At 42.1% G+C, this 12,649-nt stretch overlaps 1 protein-coding gene across 9 annotated transcripts in view, besides 1 other annotated feature; it reads left to right on the forward strand.

Annotated features, from left to right (window-relative positions):
- AP4S1 (adaptor related protein complex 4 subunit sigma 1) overlaps positions 1–12,649 on the forward strand; it is a 71,345-nt gene that overhangs the window by 45,967 nt on the left and 12,729 nt on the right. For 4 of the 9 annotated variants that reach the window (XM_011536371.4, NM_007077.5, XM_005267293.6 and 1 more), the window contains 2 exons: positions 1,833–1,901; positions 9,501–9,572. In XM_011536371.4, the coding sequence (XP_011534673.1) occupies positions 1,833–1,901; positions 9,501–9,572 (141 nt within the window). Of the gene's footprint in view, positions 1–1,832; positions 1,902–9,500; positions 9,573–12,453; positions 12,576–12,649 lie in introns of all 9 variants that reach the window. The other 5 variants (NM_001254729.2, NM_001128126.3, NM_001254728.2 and 2 more) reach the window with 3 other exon arrangements.
- Positions 11,106–11,185: a silencer, noted in NCBI's record as "silent region_5652". NCBI's record gives its function as "represses an Ori minimal core promoter by ATAC-STARR-seq in GM12878 lymphoblastoid cells {active_cell/tissue: GM12878}" and the evidence as "EXISTENCE:reporter gene assay evidence [ECO:0000049][PMID:35858748]".

Consider the following 12,649-nt stretch of genomic DNA (forward strand, 5'->3'; position numbering starts at 1 on the left):
TCAAAAGCCAGAGAAAACTCTAAAGATGATTGTATGGCAGTTACATCACCCCAAATTTATTTAGTTCACCCCTTCACAAATGCCACTCCCAAATCAATAGCACTTATGGCCATGGAATCCCTGAAAGGATGTTTTAGATCTAACTGAAATATTGATTTGTTGTTTTTTATCCATGAACCAAACTTTGAAGTGGTTTTCCCATCTTCACAGATAGAAAAATGATGGCATGAAGAGCCTGAAAAATTGCTTAAGCCAATTTGTGGTAAAGTCAGGAAATAGATCTAAGAACTCTAAGTGCTAGACACTAAGATTTTAATCTGGCTAGATTCATCATGGACTTCAAAAAAAAGAAAAAAAGATTCTTTTGGAGATGGAATCTCACCCTGTCACCAGGCTGGAGTGCAATGGCATGATCTCGGCTCACTGCAACCCCTGCCTCCTGGGTTCAAGCGATTCTCCTGCCTCAGCCTCCTGAGTAGCTAGGACTACAGGCACCCACCATCACGCCCAGCTAATTTTTGTATTCTTAGTAGAGACAGGGTTTCACCTTTTGGCCAGGATGGTCTCGATCTCCTGACCTCATGATCCACCTCCCTCAGCCTCCCAAAGTGCTGGGATTACAGGCGTGAGCCACCGCACCCGGCCTAAATTTTTTAAGACATGGTCTCTCTCCATCACCCAGGCTAGAATGCAGTGGCACCTTCACGTCTCACTGCAGCCTTGACCTCCTGGCCTGAAGTGATCCTTCCACCTCAGCCTCACAATCCCGAGTACCTAAGACTACAGGCGCACACCAAGATACCTGGATATTTTTACTTTTATTTATTTATTTATTTATTTATTTATTTGATTTTTTTTGGGGGGGTGGGGATGGAGTCTCGCTATGTCACTCAGGTTGGAGTACAGTGGCACAATCTTGGCTCACTTCAATCTCAGCCTCCCAGGTTCAAGTGATCCTCCTAGGTTCAAGCAATTCTCCTGCCTCAGCCTCCCACGTAGCTGGGATTACAAGCATGTGCCACCATGCCCAGCTAATTTTTGTATTTTTAGTAGAGACGAGGTTTCACTATGTTGGCCAGGCTGGTCTCAAGCTCCTGACCTCAAGTGATCTACGCATCTCAGCCTCCCAAAGTGCTGGGATTACAGACATGAGCCATTACGCCAAGCCTATTTTTTTATTTTTTGTAGAGAAGAGGTCTCATTATGTTGGTGAGGCTGGTCTTCAACTCCTGGGCTCAAGTGATCCTCCCACCTCGGCCTCCCAAAGTGGTGGGGATTACAGGTGTGAGCCATCACGCATGGCCTTTTTGTTTTTTAAGATAGGACCTCGCTCTGTTTCCCAGGCGGGAGTACAGTGGTGCCATCATAGCTCACTGCAGCCTGGAACTCCTGGGGTCAAGCCATCCTCCTGCCTCAGTCTCGCAAGTAGCTGAGACTACAGGCATGCACCACCACACCTGGCTAGTTTTTAAGTTTTTTATGGAGACAGAGTCTCACTATATTGCCTAGGCTGGTCCTGAACTCCTGGCCCCAAGCCATCCTCTCACCTTGGCCTCCCAAAGTGCTAGGATTACGGATATGAACCATCACATCTGGCCAAAAAAAATCCTAGAAGTTAAGGTTTATCTACATTTCCCCCATTGATAAACATCTTTTAAACAAGTGAGTGATAGAACTGTTCTGAATATTTGTCAGTGGGAGGCTACTTTCCTCACATTATCGGTTCACTAAGCCACATGCTCTAAAACCTGGACACTGACTGGGAAGTTCTATGTCTGGTTTACATGGGAAGCGACACTAAAATTGATTGTACCTTTCTTCTTTTATTGTAGAACGAGATGGCTATTTATGAATTCATTCATAACTTTGTGGAAGTTTTAGATGAGTATTTCAGCCGAGTGGTAAGTCTAATGGCTAAAAAATGGTTTACTTCCTCAACCCAGTTTCCCAGAAATTGAGTCTCTTTGGATCTATATCAAGAACATGTGTTAATACAGAGTTTTAATAAGTAAAAGTTAAAACTTAAGTGATGCCAAATTTTCTTTATCTTTCCTTCTGGTTTATCCAAAGTGTTACAAGCCTATACATGCCTGAGATCTTTATAAAGAACTGGAAAAAAAAAAAAAAACCTCTTATAGCAGGGCGCGATGGCTCACGCCTGTAATCCCAGCACTTTGGGAGGCTAAGGTGGGCAGATCACAAGGTCAGGAGATGGAGACCATCCTGGCTAATACGGTGAAACCCCGTCTCTACTAAAAATACAAAAAATTAGCTGGGCGTGGTGGTGGGCGCCTGTAGTCCCAGCTACTCCGGAGGCTGAGGCAGGAGAATGGCGTGAACCCGGGAGGCGGAGCTTGCAGTGAGCCGAGATCCCGCCACTGCACTCCAGCCTGGGCAACAGAGCGAGACTCCGTCTCAGAAAAAAAAAAAACCCTCTTATTTGTTTTCTCCCAATTATGAGCTTTTGCTATCTGACTTGCCCCCTCTTTTCTTCTTCCCTCTGCTTTCTTTTTTTATTTTTTATTATTTATTTATTTTTTTATTTTTTGAGACAGAGTTTCGCTCTTGTTGCCCAGGCTGGAGTGCAGTGACGCGATCTCAGCTCACTGCAAGCCGTGCCACCACGCCCAGCTAATTTTGTATTTTTAGCAGAGATGGGGTTTCTCCATGTTGGTCAGGCAGGTCTCAAACTCCCCACCTCAGGTGATCCACCCGCCCGCCTCGGCCTCCCAAAGTGCTGGGATTACAGGCGTGAGCCACCGTGCCTGGCCCCCTCTGCCTTATTTCCTAAGACACCAGGATGCTTTTCACTTTAAGAATCATTCCCATCCAAACCCTTGTTTTGAGGGTCAAAAGTCAATTCTCCTTAGGGAATATGTGAGCTCCTTTCCGAAAATCTTTTTAAAGCCATTTTAATAGCTATATTGAAATATATTTTATGTATAATACAGTTCACCCATTTAAAGTGTGTAATTGGCCGGGTGTGGCTGACGCCTGTAATCCCAGCACTTTGGGAGGCCGAGGTGGGTAGATCATGAGGTCAGGAGTTGAAGACCAGGCTGGCCAAAATGGTGAAACCCTGTCTCTACTAAAAATACAAAAAATTAGTTGGGCATGGTGGCACCTGCCTGTAATCCCAGCTCCTCGGAAGGCTGAGGCAGAGAATAGCTTGAACCCAGGAGGCAGAGGTTGCAGTGAGCCAACATCCCACCACTGCACTCCAGCCTTAGTGACAGGGCGAGACTCCGTCTCAAATAAATAAATAAATAAATAAATAAATAAATAAATAAATAAAGTAAGCTGGGCGCGGTGGCTGACGCCTGTAATCTCAGCACTTTGAGAGGCCGAGGCAGGCCGATCATGAGGTCAGGAGATCGAGACCACCCTGGCTAACACGGTGAAACCCTGTCTCCATCCTGGCTATCACGGTGAAACCTGTTTCTACTAACCATACAAAAAATTAGCCAGGCATGGTGGCGGGCGCCTGTAGTACCAGCTACTCAGGAGGCTGAATGGCGTGAACCTGGGAGGCAGAGCTTGCAGTGAGCTGAGATCACGCCACTGCACTCCAGCCTGGGCGACAGAGCAAGACTCCGTCTCAAATAAATAAATAAATAAAGTAAGTGTATAATCAAGCTGGGTGTGGAGGCAAGCATCTCTAGTGACAGATACTCAGGAGGATGAGGTGGGAGGATGTTAGGAAATTTCATCACCTGACAAAGAAACGTACCCATTAGCATTTCCCCCTCATTATCCCCTCCACCCACACCAGGTAACCAGTGATCTATCTTTTTTTCTTGGTAAGTTTTTTATTTTTATTTTTTATATTGATACATAAGAGATGTAGATATTTTCAGAATACTTGTGATAATTTGATACATTCATATAATGTATAAAAACCAAATCAGGATAATTAGGATCTCTATCACCTTAAATATTTATGTCTTCTTTATGCTAGGAACATTTGAATTATTCTCTTAGCTATTTTGAAATATACAATAGATTATTATTAACCATAGTCACCCTACTGATTTATCAAACACTAGGTCTTATTTCTTCTATCTAATTGCATATTTGCACCCATTAATCTACCTCTCTTCATTTCCTCTTTTCCTCTTCCTCTCCCAGCTTTTGGTAACCACCAATTTACTGTCTATCTTCATGATATCTACTTTTTTACTTCCCACATGAATGAGAACATGTGATATTTGTCTTTCGGTGCCTGGCTTATTTCACTGAACATAATGACCTTCAGTTCCATACATGTTTCTGCAAATGATAGGGTTTTATTCTTTTTTATGGCTGAATAGTATTCCATTGTGTATATATACCGTATTTTCTTTATCCATTCATCTATTGGTGGGTGCTTTGGTTGATTCCATATTTTGGCTATTGTGGACAGTGCTACAATAAACATTGGACTGCAGACATCTCTTAATGTATTGATTTCCTTTCTTTTGGATATATACCTAATCTACTTTCTGTGTCTATAGATTTGTCTGTTCTAGATATTTCATATAAATAGAATTGTACAACATGTGATTTTTGTGTGACTGGCTTCTTTCATTGAGTGTAGTGTTTTCAAGATCCATCCATGTTATAGCATATATCAGTACTTCTTTCCTTTTTCTTGCCAGATGATATTCCATTGTATGGATGGATATACCAATTTTTTTTTTTTTTTGAGACGGAGTGTCGCTGTTGTTGCCCAGGCTGGAGTGCAATGGCGTGCTCTCAGCTCACCACAACCTCCACCTCCCAGGTTCAAGCAATTCTCCTGCCTCAGCCTCTCGAGTAGCTGGGATTACAGGCATGCACCACCATGCCCAGCTAATTTTGTATTTTTAGTAGAGACGGGGTTTCTCCATGTTGAGGCTGGTCTCAAACTCCTGACCTCAGGTGATCCGCCTGCCTCGGCCTCCCAAAGTGCTGGGATTACAGGCGTGAGCCGTCACGCCTGGCCGGATATACCAAATTTTTTTATCCATTCATCAGTTGATGGACATTTGAGTTATTTCCAGTTTTTGGCTACTGTAAATAATGCTCATATGAACATTCATGGATGCGTTTTTGCATAGAACCATGCTTTCAGTTCTCTTGGACTACCTAGGAGCAGAATGTGGTAACTCCATGTTTAACATTTTGATGAACTGCCAAACTGTTTTCCAAAGTGTTGGTGTGATTCAAATTCCCATCAGGAGTGCATGAGGGTTTCAATTTCTCCACATCCTCACCAAAACTTGTTATTGTCTGTCTTTTATATGATAGCCATCCCAGTAGATGTAAAGTGGTATAGAGGCCAATGAACTGTAGTTGTCATTTGTGTTTCACTAATGGATAAGGATGTTGAGCATCTTTTCATATGTTTATTAGCCATTTGTCTATCTTCTTGGGAGAAATGTCTGCTCAAATCCTTTGCCCATTTTTACATTGCATTATTTGTTATCTTATTGTTGAGTTGCAGGAGTTCTTTATATATTCTGAATACAAGTCCCTTATCAGATATATGATTTGAAAATATTTTCTCCCATTCCTTTGTAGATGTTCAATTGTTCCAACATCATTTGTTCAAAAGACTGTTCTTTTCCCCCAATGAATTGTCTTGGCCCCCTTATCAGTAAATCAATTGGCCATAAATGTAAGTGTTTATTTCTGGCCTCTCACTTTTGTTCCATTGATCTCTGTGTCTAGCCTTACATCAGTAGCACACTCTTTTGATTTCTGTAGCTTTGTATCAAGTTCGAAACTCACCAGTCTTTTAAAAAAGAATCAGTAAAGATGTTTTACTTTGGTACCATAGGCCTTCCTGAGCTTTAGTTAGACATTCTTGAGAAGTAGCAGCGGCACAAGCTTATCTTTTTATTTTTATTTTTTTTGAGACGGAGTTTTGCTCTTGTTGCCCAGGTTGGAGTGCAATGGCGTGATCTCGGCTCACTGCAACCTCCGTCCCGGGTTCAAGCGATTCTCATGCCTCAGCCCCCCAAGTAGCTGGGATTACAGGCATGCGCCACCACGCCTGGCTAATTTTTGTATTATTAGTAGAGACAGGGTTTCTACTTTTTCCATGTTGGTCAGGCTCGTCTCGAACTCCCAACCTCAGGTGATCCGCCCGCCTCAGCCTCCCAAAGTGCTGGGATTACAGGCGTGAGCCACCACACCCAGCCAGCACAAGCTTATTTTTTAAAGTTGTTTTTTTTCATTTCGCATTTAAATAAAAACAAGGAATTTTTCCAAGCTTCTTCCTGAGGCAGTGAGCAGAATGTGCTCCATAATTAGTAATATTGTGTGCACTAAAACCCGGAAAGGGCAAAAGTCCAATTAGGAAGTTAGGTCTTCAGCCCACCTCCTAATGCCAGAAGTGAGGTTTGGCAAACTCCTTCTTCATGGGACAGTCAGCTAGCCTGTCTTCATTGTCTTAGTGCAGCAGTTCTCAAAGTCTGATTCCTGGACCATTAGCATAGGTTGAGAACTTGTTAGACAGACAAATTCTGGGCCCCATCCCAGACCATTGCATCAGAAGCTGTAGGTCAAGGCCCAGAAATCTGTTTTAAGATGACTTCCAGGTGATTCCAGGTGATTCTGGTTTCTGGTACATGCTTAATTTTGGTAATCATTGCCTTAGTGCATGAGGCTTGCTGTCAGCCATTTTTGTTTTTTTTCTTTTTTCTTTTTTTTTTTTTTTGAGATGGAGTCTCGCTCTGTCGCCAGGCTGGAGTGCAGTGGCGCGATCTCGGCTCACTGCAACCTCTGACTCCCTTGTTCAAGCAATTCTCCCACCTCAACCTCCCGAGTAGCTGGGATGACAGGCACGTGCCACCACACCCAGCTAATTGTTGTATTTTTAGTAGAGTTAGGGTTTCACCATATTGGCCAGGATGGTCTCGATTTCCTGACCTCTTGATCCACCTGCCTTGGCCTCCTAAAGTGCTGGGATTACAGGCGTGAGCCACCGTGCCCGGCCTTTATCAGCCTTTTCTTGATTCAAGAGTTGGTGTTGGGAACGTGCCTTGTGGTCTGTGATGTGGAAATGCATCTAGCCAGGAAGGGGTTGGTGCGTTCCAAAGCTGAAAGATACCAAGAGGTGGTCATTCCAGAGACTGGCCTTGGGGACAGAGGACATGGAGACTGGCTTTAAAATCTATCTCTGTGTTGATTGCTTGGCAAGAGCACCATAGACCAGCACTGTTCAGTAAAACTTTCTGCAGAGATAGGAATGTTCTGTACCTGTGCCATCCAATACAGTAGGCATTAGCCAGATGTGGCTCTTGAGCACTTGAAATGCAGTTAGTATAACTGAGGAAATAAAGTTTTAATTTTACTTAATTTAAATCTCCACATGAGGTTGGTGTTTACTGTATTGGACAGTATAGCTCTAGCTTCTGCTTACCTTGTGATGACCACTCTCTTGTTTAGACAGACTAGTTGCAAGTCAGGGTCTATGATCAGAGCTGACCATGATTAGCCATTTCAAGGTGACACCCACCAAGAAGAATATAATTTCCCAAAATAATAATGTTCTAAACCTAGGAGAATAAAAAGTGGGTACAAGTACTATCATTGCTAAGGTTTTAAAAATTATTATTATTATATTCAGTAACTGAGAATAAATAGCATATTGCTGAATTATAGGTATAATTTTAGGGAGAGTCAGTGACCACATAAACCACGAAAGTAAAGATTAGAATTTAATTTCAGCCAGGTGATTATGCAGGACTTGGACGGTAGGTACTAAGGGATGACTTGGCTTAGGATCAAACCATAGCAAAAAGAAGAAGAGGAAGAGGGAAAAGAGCACTATGGGAAAGAAAATAGGATCTGTCCCCCTCACAGAGACGGCCTTGTCATGTAAGATTTATTTTTAGGTTTGTGAATTTTAAACATTCTTTCTGTGGCTATTTTTAATCTTCAAGAATTTCCAAATCTTAAATTTGGAGATCAGTCTCATGCTGTCTGGGGCTGAGAGAAGCATCTCAGCATCACATTTTTAAAACAAAAAACCAACCCAGTTAGCTTCAAAGAAGGCAGCTTTGCCAGAGGTGAGGGTTGTTGCTGTTGAAGAAGTGGTATCAGGGGATTTTCAGTGCTGCATTTGACAACCCTTAAGTCCTTTCATATTTGAACTTAATTCTCTTTGCTTTTTTCTTCCTCCATACTTTTTTCACTGCATAAATATCTATTTTATTTACAAAATTTTAAAACATATAAGCAAAGAGAAAGAGGAAAGCGAATACATGTAGTTATGCATTTGTCTAAACCCATGGAATGTACAACAGTAGAGTGAACCCGAATGTAAACTGTGGAATTTGGGTGAGAATGATGTAGGTGGGGAATGCTGATCATGGGAGGAGGCTGCACATTCGGAGGGACACGGCTGCACATTCGGAGGCTGCACATTCGGAGGGAAGGCTGTACCTTCCCCTCAATATTGCTGTGAACCTAAAACTGCTCTTTAAAAAGTAATGTATTTTTTGGCCAGGTATGATGACTCACACCTGTAATCCCAGCACTTAGGGAGGCTGAGGCAGGTGGATTGCTTGAGCTCAGGAGTTCAAGACCAGTCTGGGCAACATGGCAAAACCCCCGTCTCTACAAAAAATACAAAAATTAGCCAGGTGTGGTGGCTCACACCTCTAGTCCCAGCTACTTGGGAGGCAGAGGTGGGAGGATCGCTTGAACCCAGGAAGTGGAGGTTGTAATGAACCAAGATCATGCCACTGCACTCCAGCCTGGGCGACAGACTGACTCCAAATAAATAAATACTTTCTTGAAATAAATAAATAAAATAGATTTTTTTAAGTGAGAAGAAGATCATCAGTAAGCCCATCAGTTACTGATAACTGCTGTTAGGTACATTTCCTTTTAGACTTTCTATGTCTGTCTGTAGCTGTATAACCACATATACTTTGACCTTTATACATACATACATAGGATAATACTATGTATACATTTTGTAACTTTTTTTAACAATATGTGAGTACTTATATGTCTACATCATCATTTGTGGATATGCTACGGTTTACTTAATTTGTTCCCCTCCTTGATAGATATTTAGGTTATTATCCATAATTTGCTATTACAAACACCATTACCCTGAATATCCTGTCATATATCATTGTGCCATTGTCTAATTTTTTCCTTAGGATAAACTACTAGAAGTAACGTCAGTGGATTCAAAGGGTGTGGCACATTGTTAAGATCTCTGATACACATATCAAATTACCTACATCTGTAAAGGCTGAGTTAGTTTCTTTTTCCCTCTGCTTTCTAAAGATGAATCGTGCTGGCCTGTAAAATTCCTTTGAACTACAGCCTATATTTAAAAAAATTATAGTCCCAAACTTAGGGCCTTGGCAGAGTCAGACTGCTGTGGCCACCAAGCCCAGAAGCAGGTAGGAGAGGCCGCTGCTATGGACGCAGAAGCCTCTTCAGTCTGACTCTGCTAAGAGCAGTGGTCCCCAGTGTCTTTTTTCTAACCCTTGCACTCTTTTTCTGTCTTCCAGAGTGAATTAGATGTATCCTTTTTCAATACTGTTTTCCACAGTACTTGGCAAATGCACTCTGGTCCTTATCAGGTAAGTACCACAAGGCAGGAAAACTATTCAGCAGAGTCCAGAGTGTTCATCACCAACAACTATGACAAGACAGCCAGAGGTGTGTGTGTTCTGCAGAACTCCTCCCCAACTTCGTCACCCTGCTTCAACAAGGCGATTCTTTTTTTTTCTTTTTAAGATGGAGTTTCGCTCTTCTTGCCCAGGCTGGAGTGCAATGGTGTAATCTCTGCTCACTGCAATTTCCACCTCACTGCAACCTCTGCCTTTTGGGTTCAAGTATTCTCCTGCCTCAGCCTCCTGAGGCATTACGGGCGCCCACCACCACGCCCAGCTAATGTTTGTATTTTTAGTAGACACGGGGTTTCACCATGTTGGCCAGGCTGGTCTTGAACTCCTGGCCTCAGGTGATCCACCCACCTCGGCCTCCCAAAGTGCTGGGATTACAGGCGTGAACCACTGCGCCTGGCAAGATGATTCTTAAGATTTTTTTTTTCCAGGCAGGATAGCGCTATCATAGTAGTTAATAGCTACTATTTATTAATTTAATTTCCTTTAAGCATATGGAATAGGCATTTTCAAAATTTAAATAACACAGCCAAAAAAGTGTTTAGTCCTCCTCCAGAAACTGGATTTCCAGGGTGCCAGGTCTAAATCTCTAGAAATCCCCTACATGACCAGAATAAGGCCTTCAGTGTTGATAAACTGGAAGGTTAAAGAAATTGCCTGGCTTGTATTCATTGCTATCAAATGTATTCATTCCTTGATAGCAGAGAAAGTTCTCCTTTTTGCCTTTTCTTCTGTCTCTTTTAAATCACAATACCCAAGGACCCTCAAAACAAGCACGATTTGCTTAGAATACTGCAGGCCCACAGATTTTGGCAGGAGCCCTCCAGGCTTTGTGCGAGTGTTTGGGAGGCAAGTTAATTTTTAAGTTTATTTTTTACTTCAAAAATCTACCTACCACTTGAGTCCTTTAAGAACACATCAAGTTTGAATATAAAATAGTAAATTAATTATAACAAATGTTTATATATAAATATTTATATAAGAATATAACAACTATATATGAATTATAACAATGTTTATGTGTATATATACATACATGTATTTATGTGTGTGTGTGTATGTGTGTGTACGTGCACAAACACACAGGCATTTTTCCACATTTTGCCAGAAATATTAAGTGGATGCAAAACTACTGGTTCTGGGCGTAGTGTCTGATGTGTATATATATGATATATATATATACATTTTGTAGAGATGGGGTTTCGCCATGTTAGCCAGGTTGGTTTTGAACTCCTCACCTCAGATGATCCGCCTGCCTCAGCCTCCCAAAGTGCTGGGATTACAGGCGTGAGCCACCACGTCCGGCCTAATTTATAAATTTATATATACACTTATATAAATGCCCAGAACCAGTATGTTTGCATCCACTTAGTATTTCTGGGGAAATTGCTATTTACTTGTTATTACTGATAGGAAATGTCACTGTGTTGACAAATTCATTTTGTGCCCTTAATTTGGAAGCCTCTGTAAAGTAACTGGGAAAATCTGAGTGCCCTCTAGTGGTGAGTGACCCAAATCTATGATCCCTGTGACCTAGAAGGGACTATAGATCCCTTTGTAGGTTTTAGCATGCTGAATAAAAATATACCGTGATATACAGACCACGTTGTATATTATGGTGTATTTTCACTCAGCATGGTCTGTATATTACAGTATATTTTTATTCAACATGTAATATTCTATCTGAATTAAGCCATTCAAAGCAATTCAAAATAAATCTCTTCCTACTTGAACAAGGTACAAGTAGACAAAAAGCTTTTTGATTTAAACAGTCATCAGGAAGATAGCAAGGGCTAAAAGACACTTCACTGGGAGTAGAGAACTCAATTTCCACTTTTGGTCTTGCCACTGACTAGCTGTGTGTATTGGACAAGACACATAACCCGCTCATCTTAAAATGAGAGAATTAAGACTAGAAGAGCTTTGGCCGGGCGCGGTGGCTCACGCCTGTAATCCCAGCACTTTGGGAGGCCGAGGCGGGTGGATCATGAGGTCAGGAGATCGAGACCATCCTGGCTAACAAGGTGAAACCCCGTCTCTACTAAAAATACAAAAAATTAGCCGGGCGCGGTGGCGGGCGCCTGTAGTCCCAGCTACTTGGGAGGCTGAGGCAGGAGAATGGCGTGAACCCGGGAGGCGGAGCTTGCAGTGAGCCGAGATTGCGCCACTGCACTCCAGCCTGGGCGACAGAGCGAGACTCCGTCTCAAAAAAAAAAAAAAAGACTAGAAGAGCTTTAACACCTGATCAGCCTTAATAGTTGATGTTGCCATGACTTTAGGTAACTGAGCTGAGTTACCTTACATCTAAAACAGGAAGAGAGTCTTACAAGACTAGATATTGAGAGAGTTAACGTGAATCAGAGGTGAAGGGATATGTATTATAGTTGGATGAGTTGTGTTGATGTGTCGTATATTTACTAGATGTTTAGTAGAAATAAAGATGGGTATACTTGTCTTTGTAGCCTTCTGGTGTGTAGTATAGGTCTGTGTGATGAGCTCCAGCATTCTTGTTTGAATTAAAATTTTACGTCAAGATACACAATTTTCCCTTCATTTTACCTGGTTTCATTTTCACCCTCTCTTCCCTTCTAACCAAGTTATATGTATTTACTGTCCTTAGGAATTACTTAGGCATATCCATCTGGCAAATTAGGAATTTTACATCATTTAGAGAGGAGAACTAAGTCTTTCTAGACCTGGAATATTATGTCTTTGCTCCAGGTTTGATCTCACTTGTACTTCCAGTGGTCTAAAAGTAGAGCAGGCAGCAGAGAAGGGCATGTGGCACCTCTTTTCTGTTGACACTCTTTTTTTTTTTTTTTTTTTTTTTTTTGAGACAAGGTCTTGCTCTGTCACCCAGGCTGGAGTGCAGAGGTGCGATCATGGCTCACTACACCCTGGATCTCCTGGGCTCAAGTGATCCTCCTACCTCAGCCTCCCAAGTAGCTGGGACTACAGGTACACAACACCATGCCTGGCTAATTTTTTAAATTTATTTTTTGAGGAGATGGGGTCTCACTCTGTTGCACAGG

This window comes from Homo sapiens, chromosome 14, assembly GCF_000001405.40.
Source record: "Homo sapiens chromosome 14, GRCh38.p14 Primary Assembly".
Taxonomy (NCBI): Eukaryota; Metazoa; Chordata; class Mammalia; order Primates; family Hominidae; genus Homo; species Homo sapiens.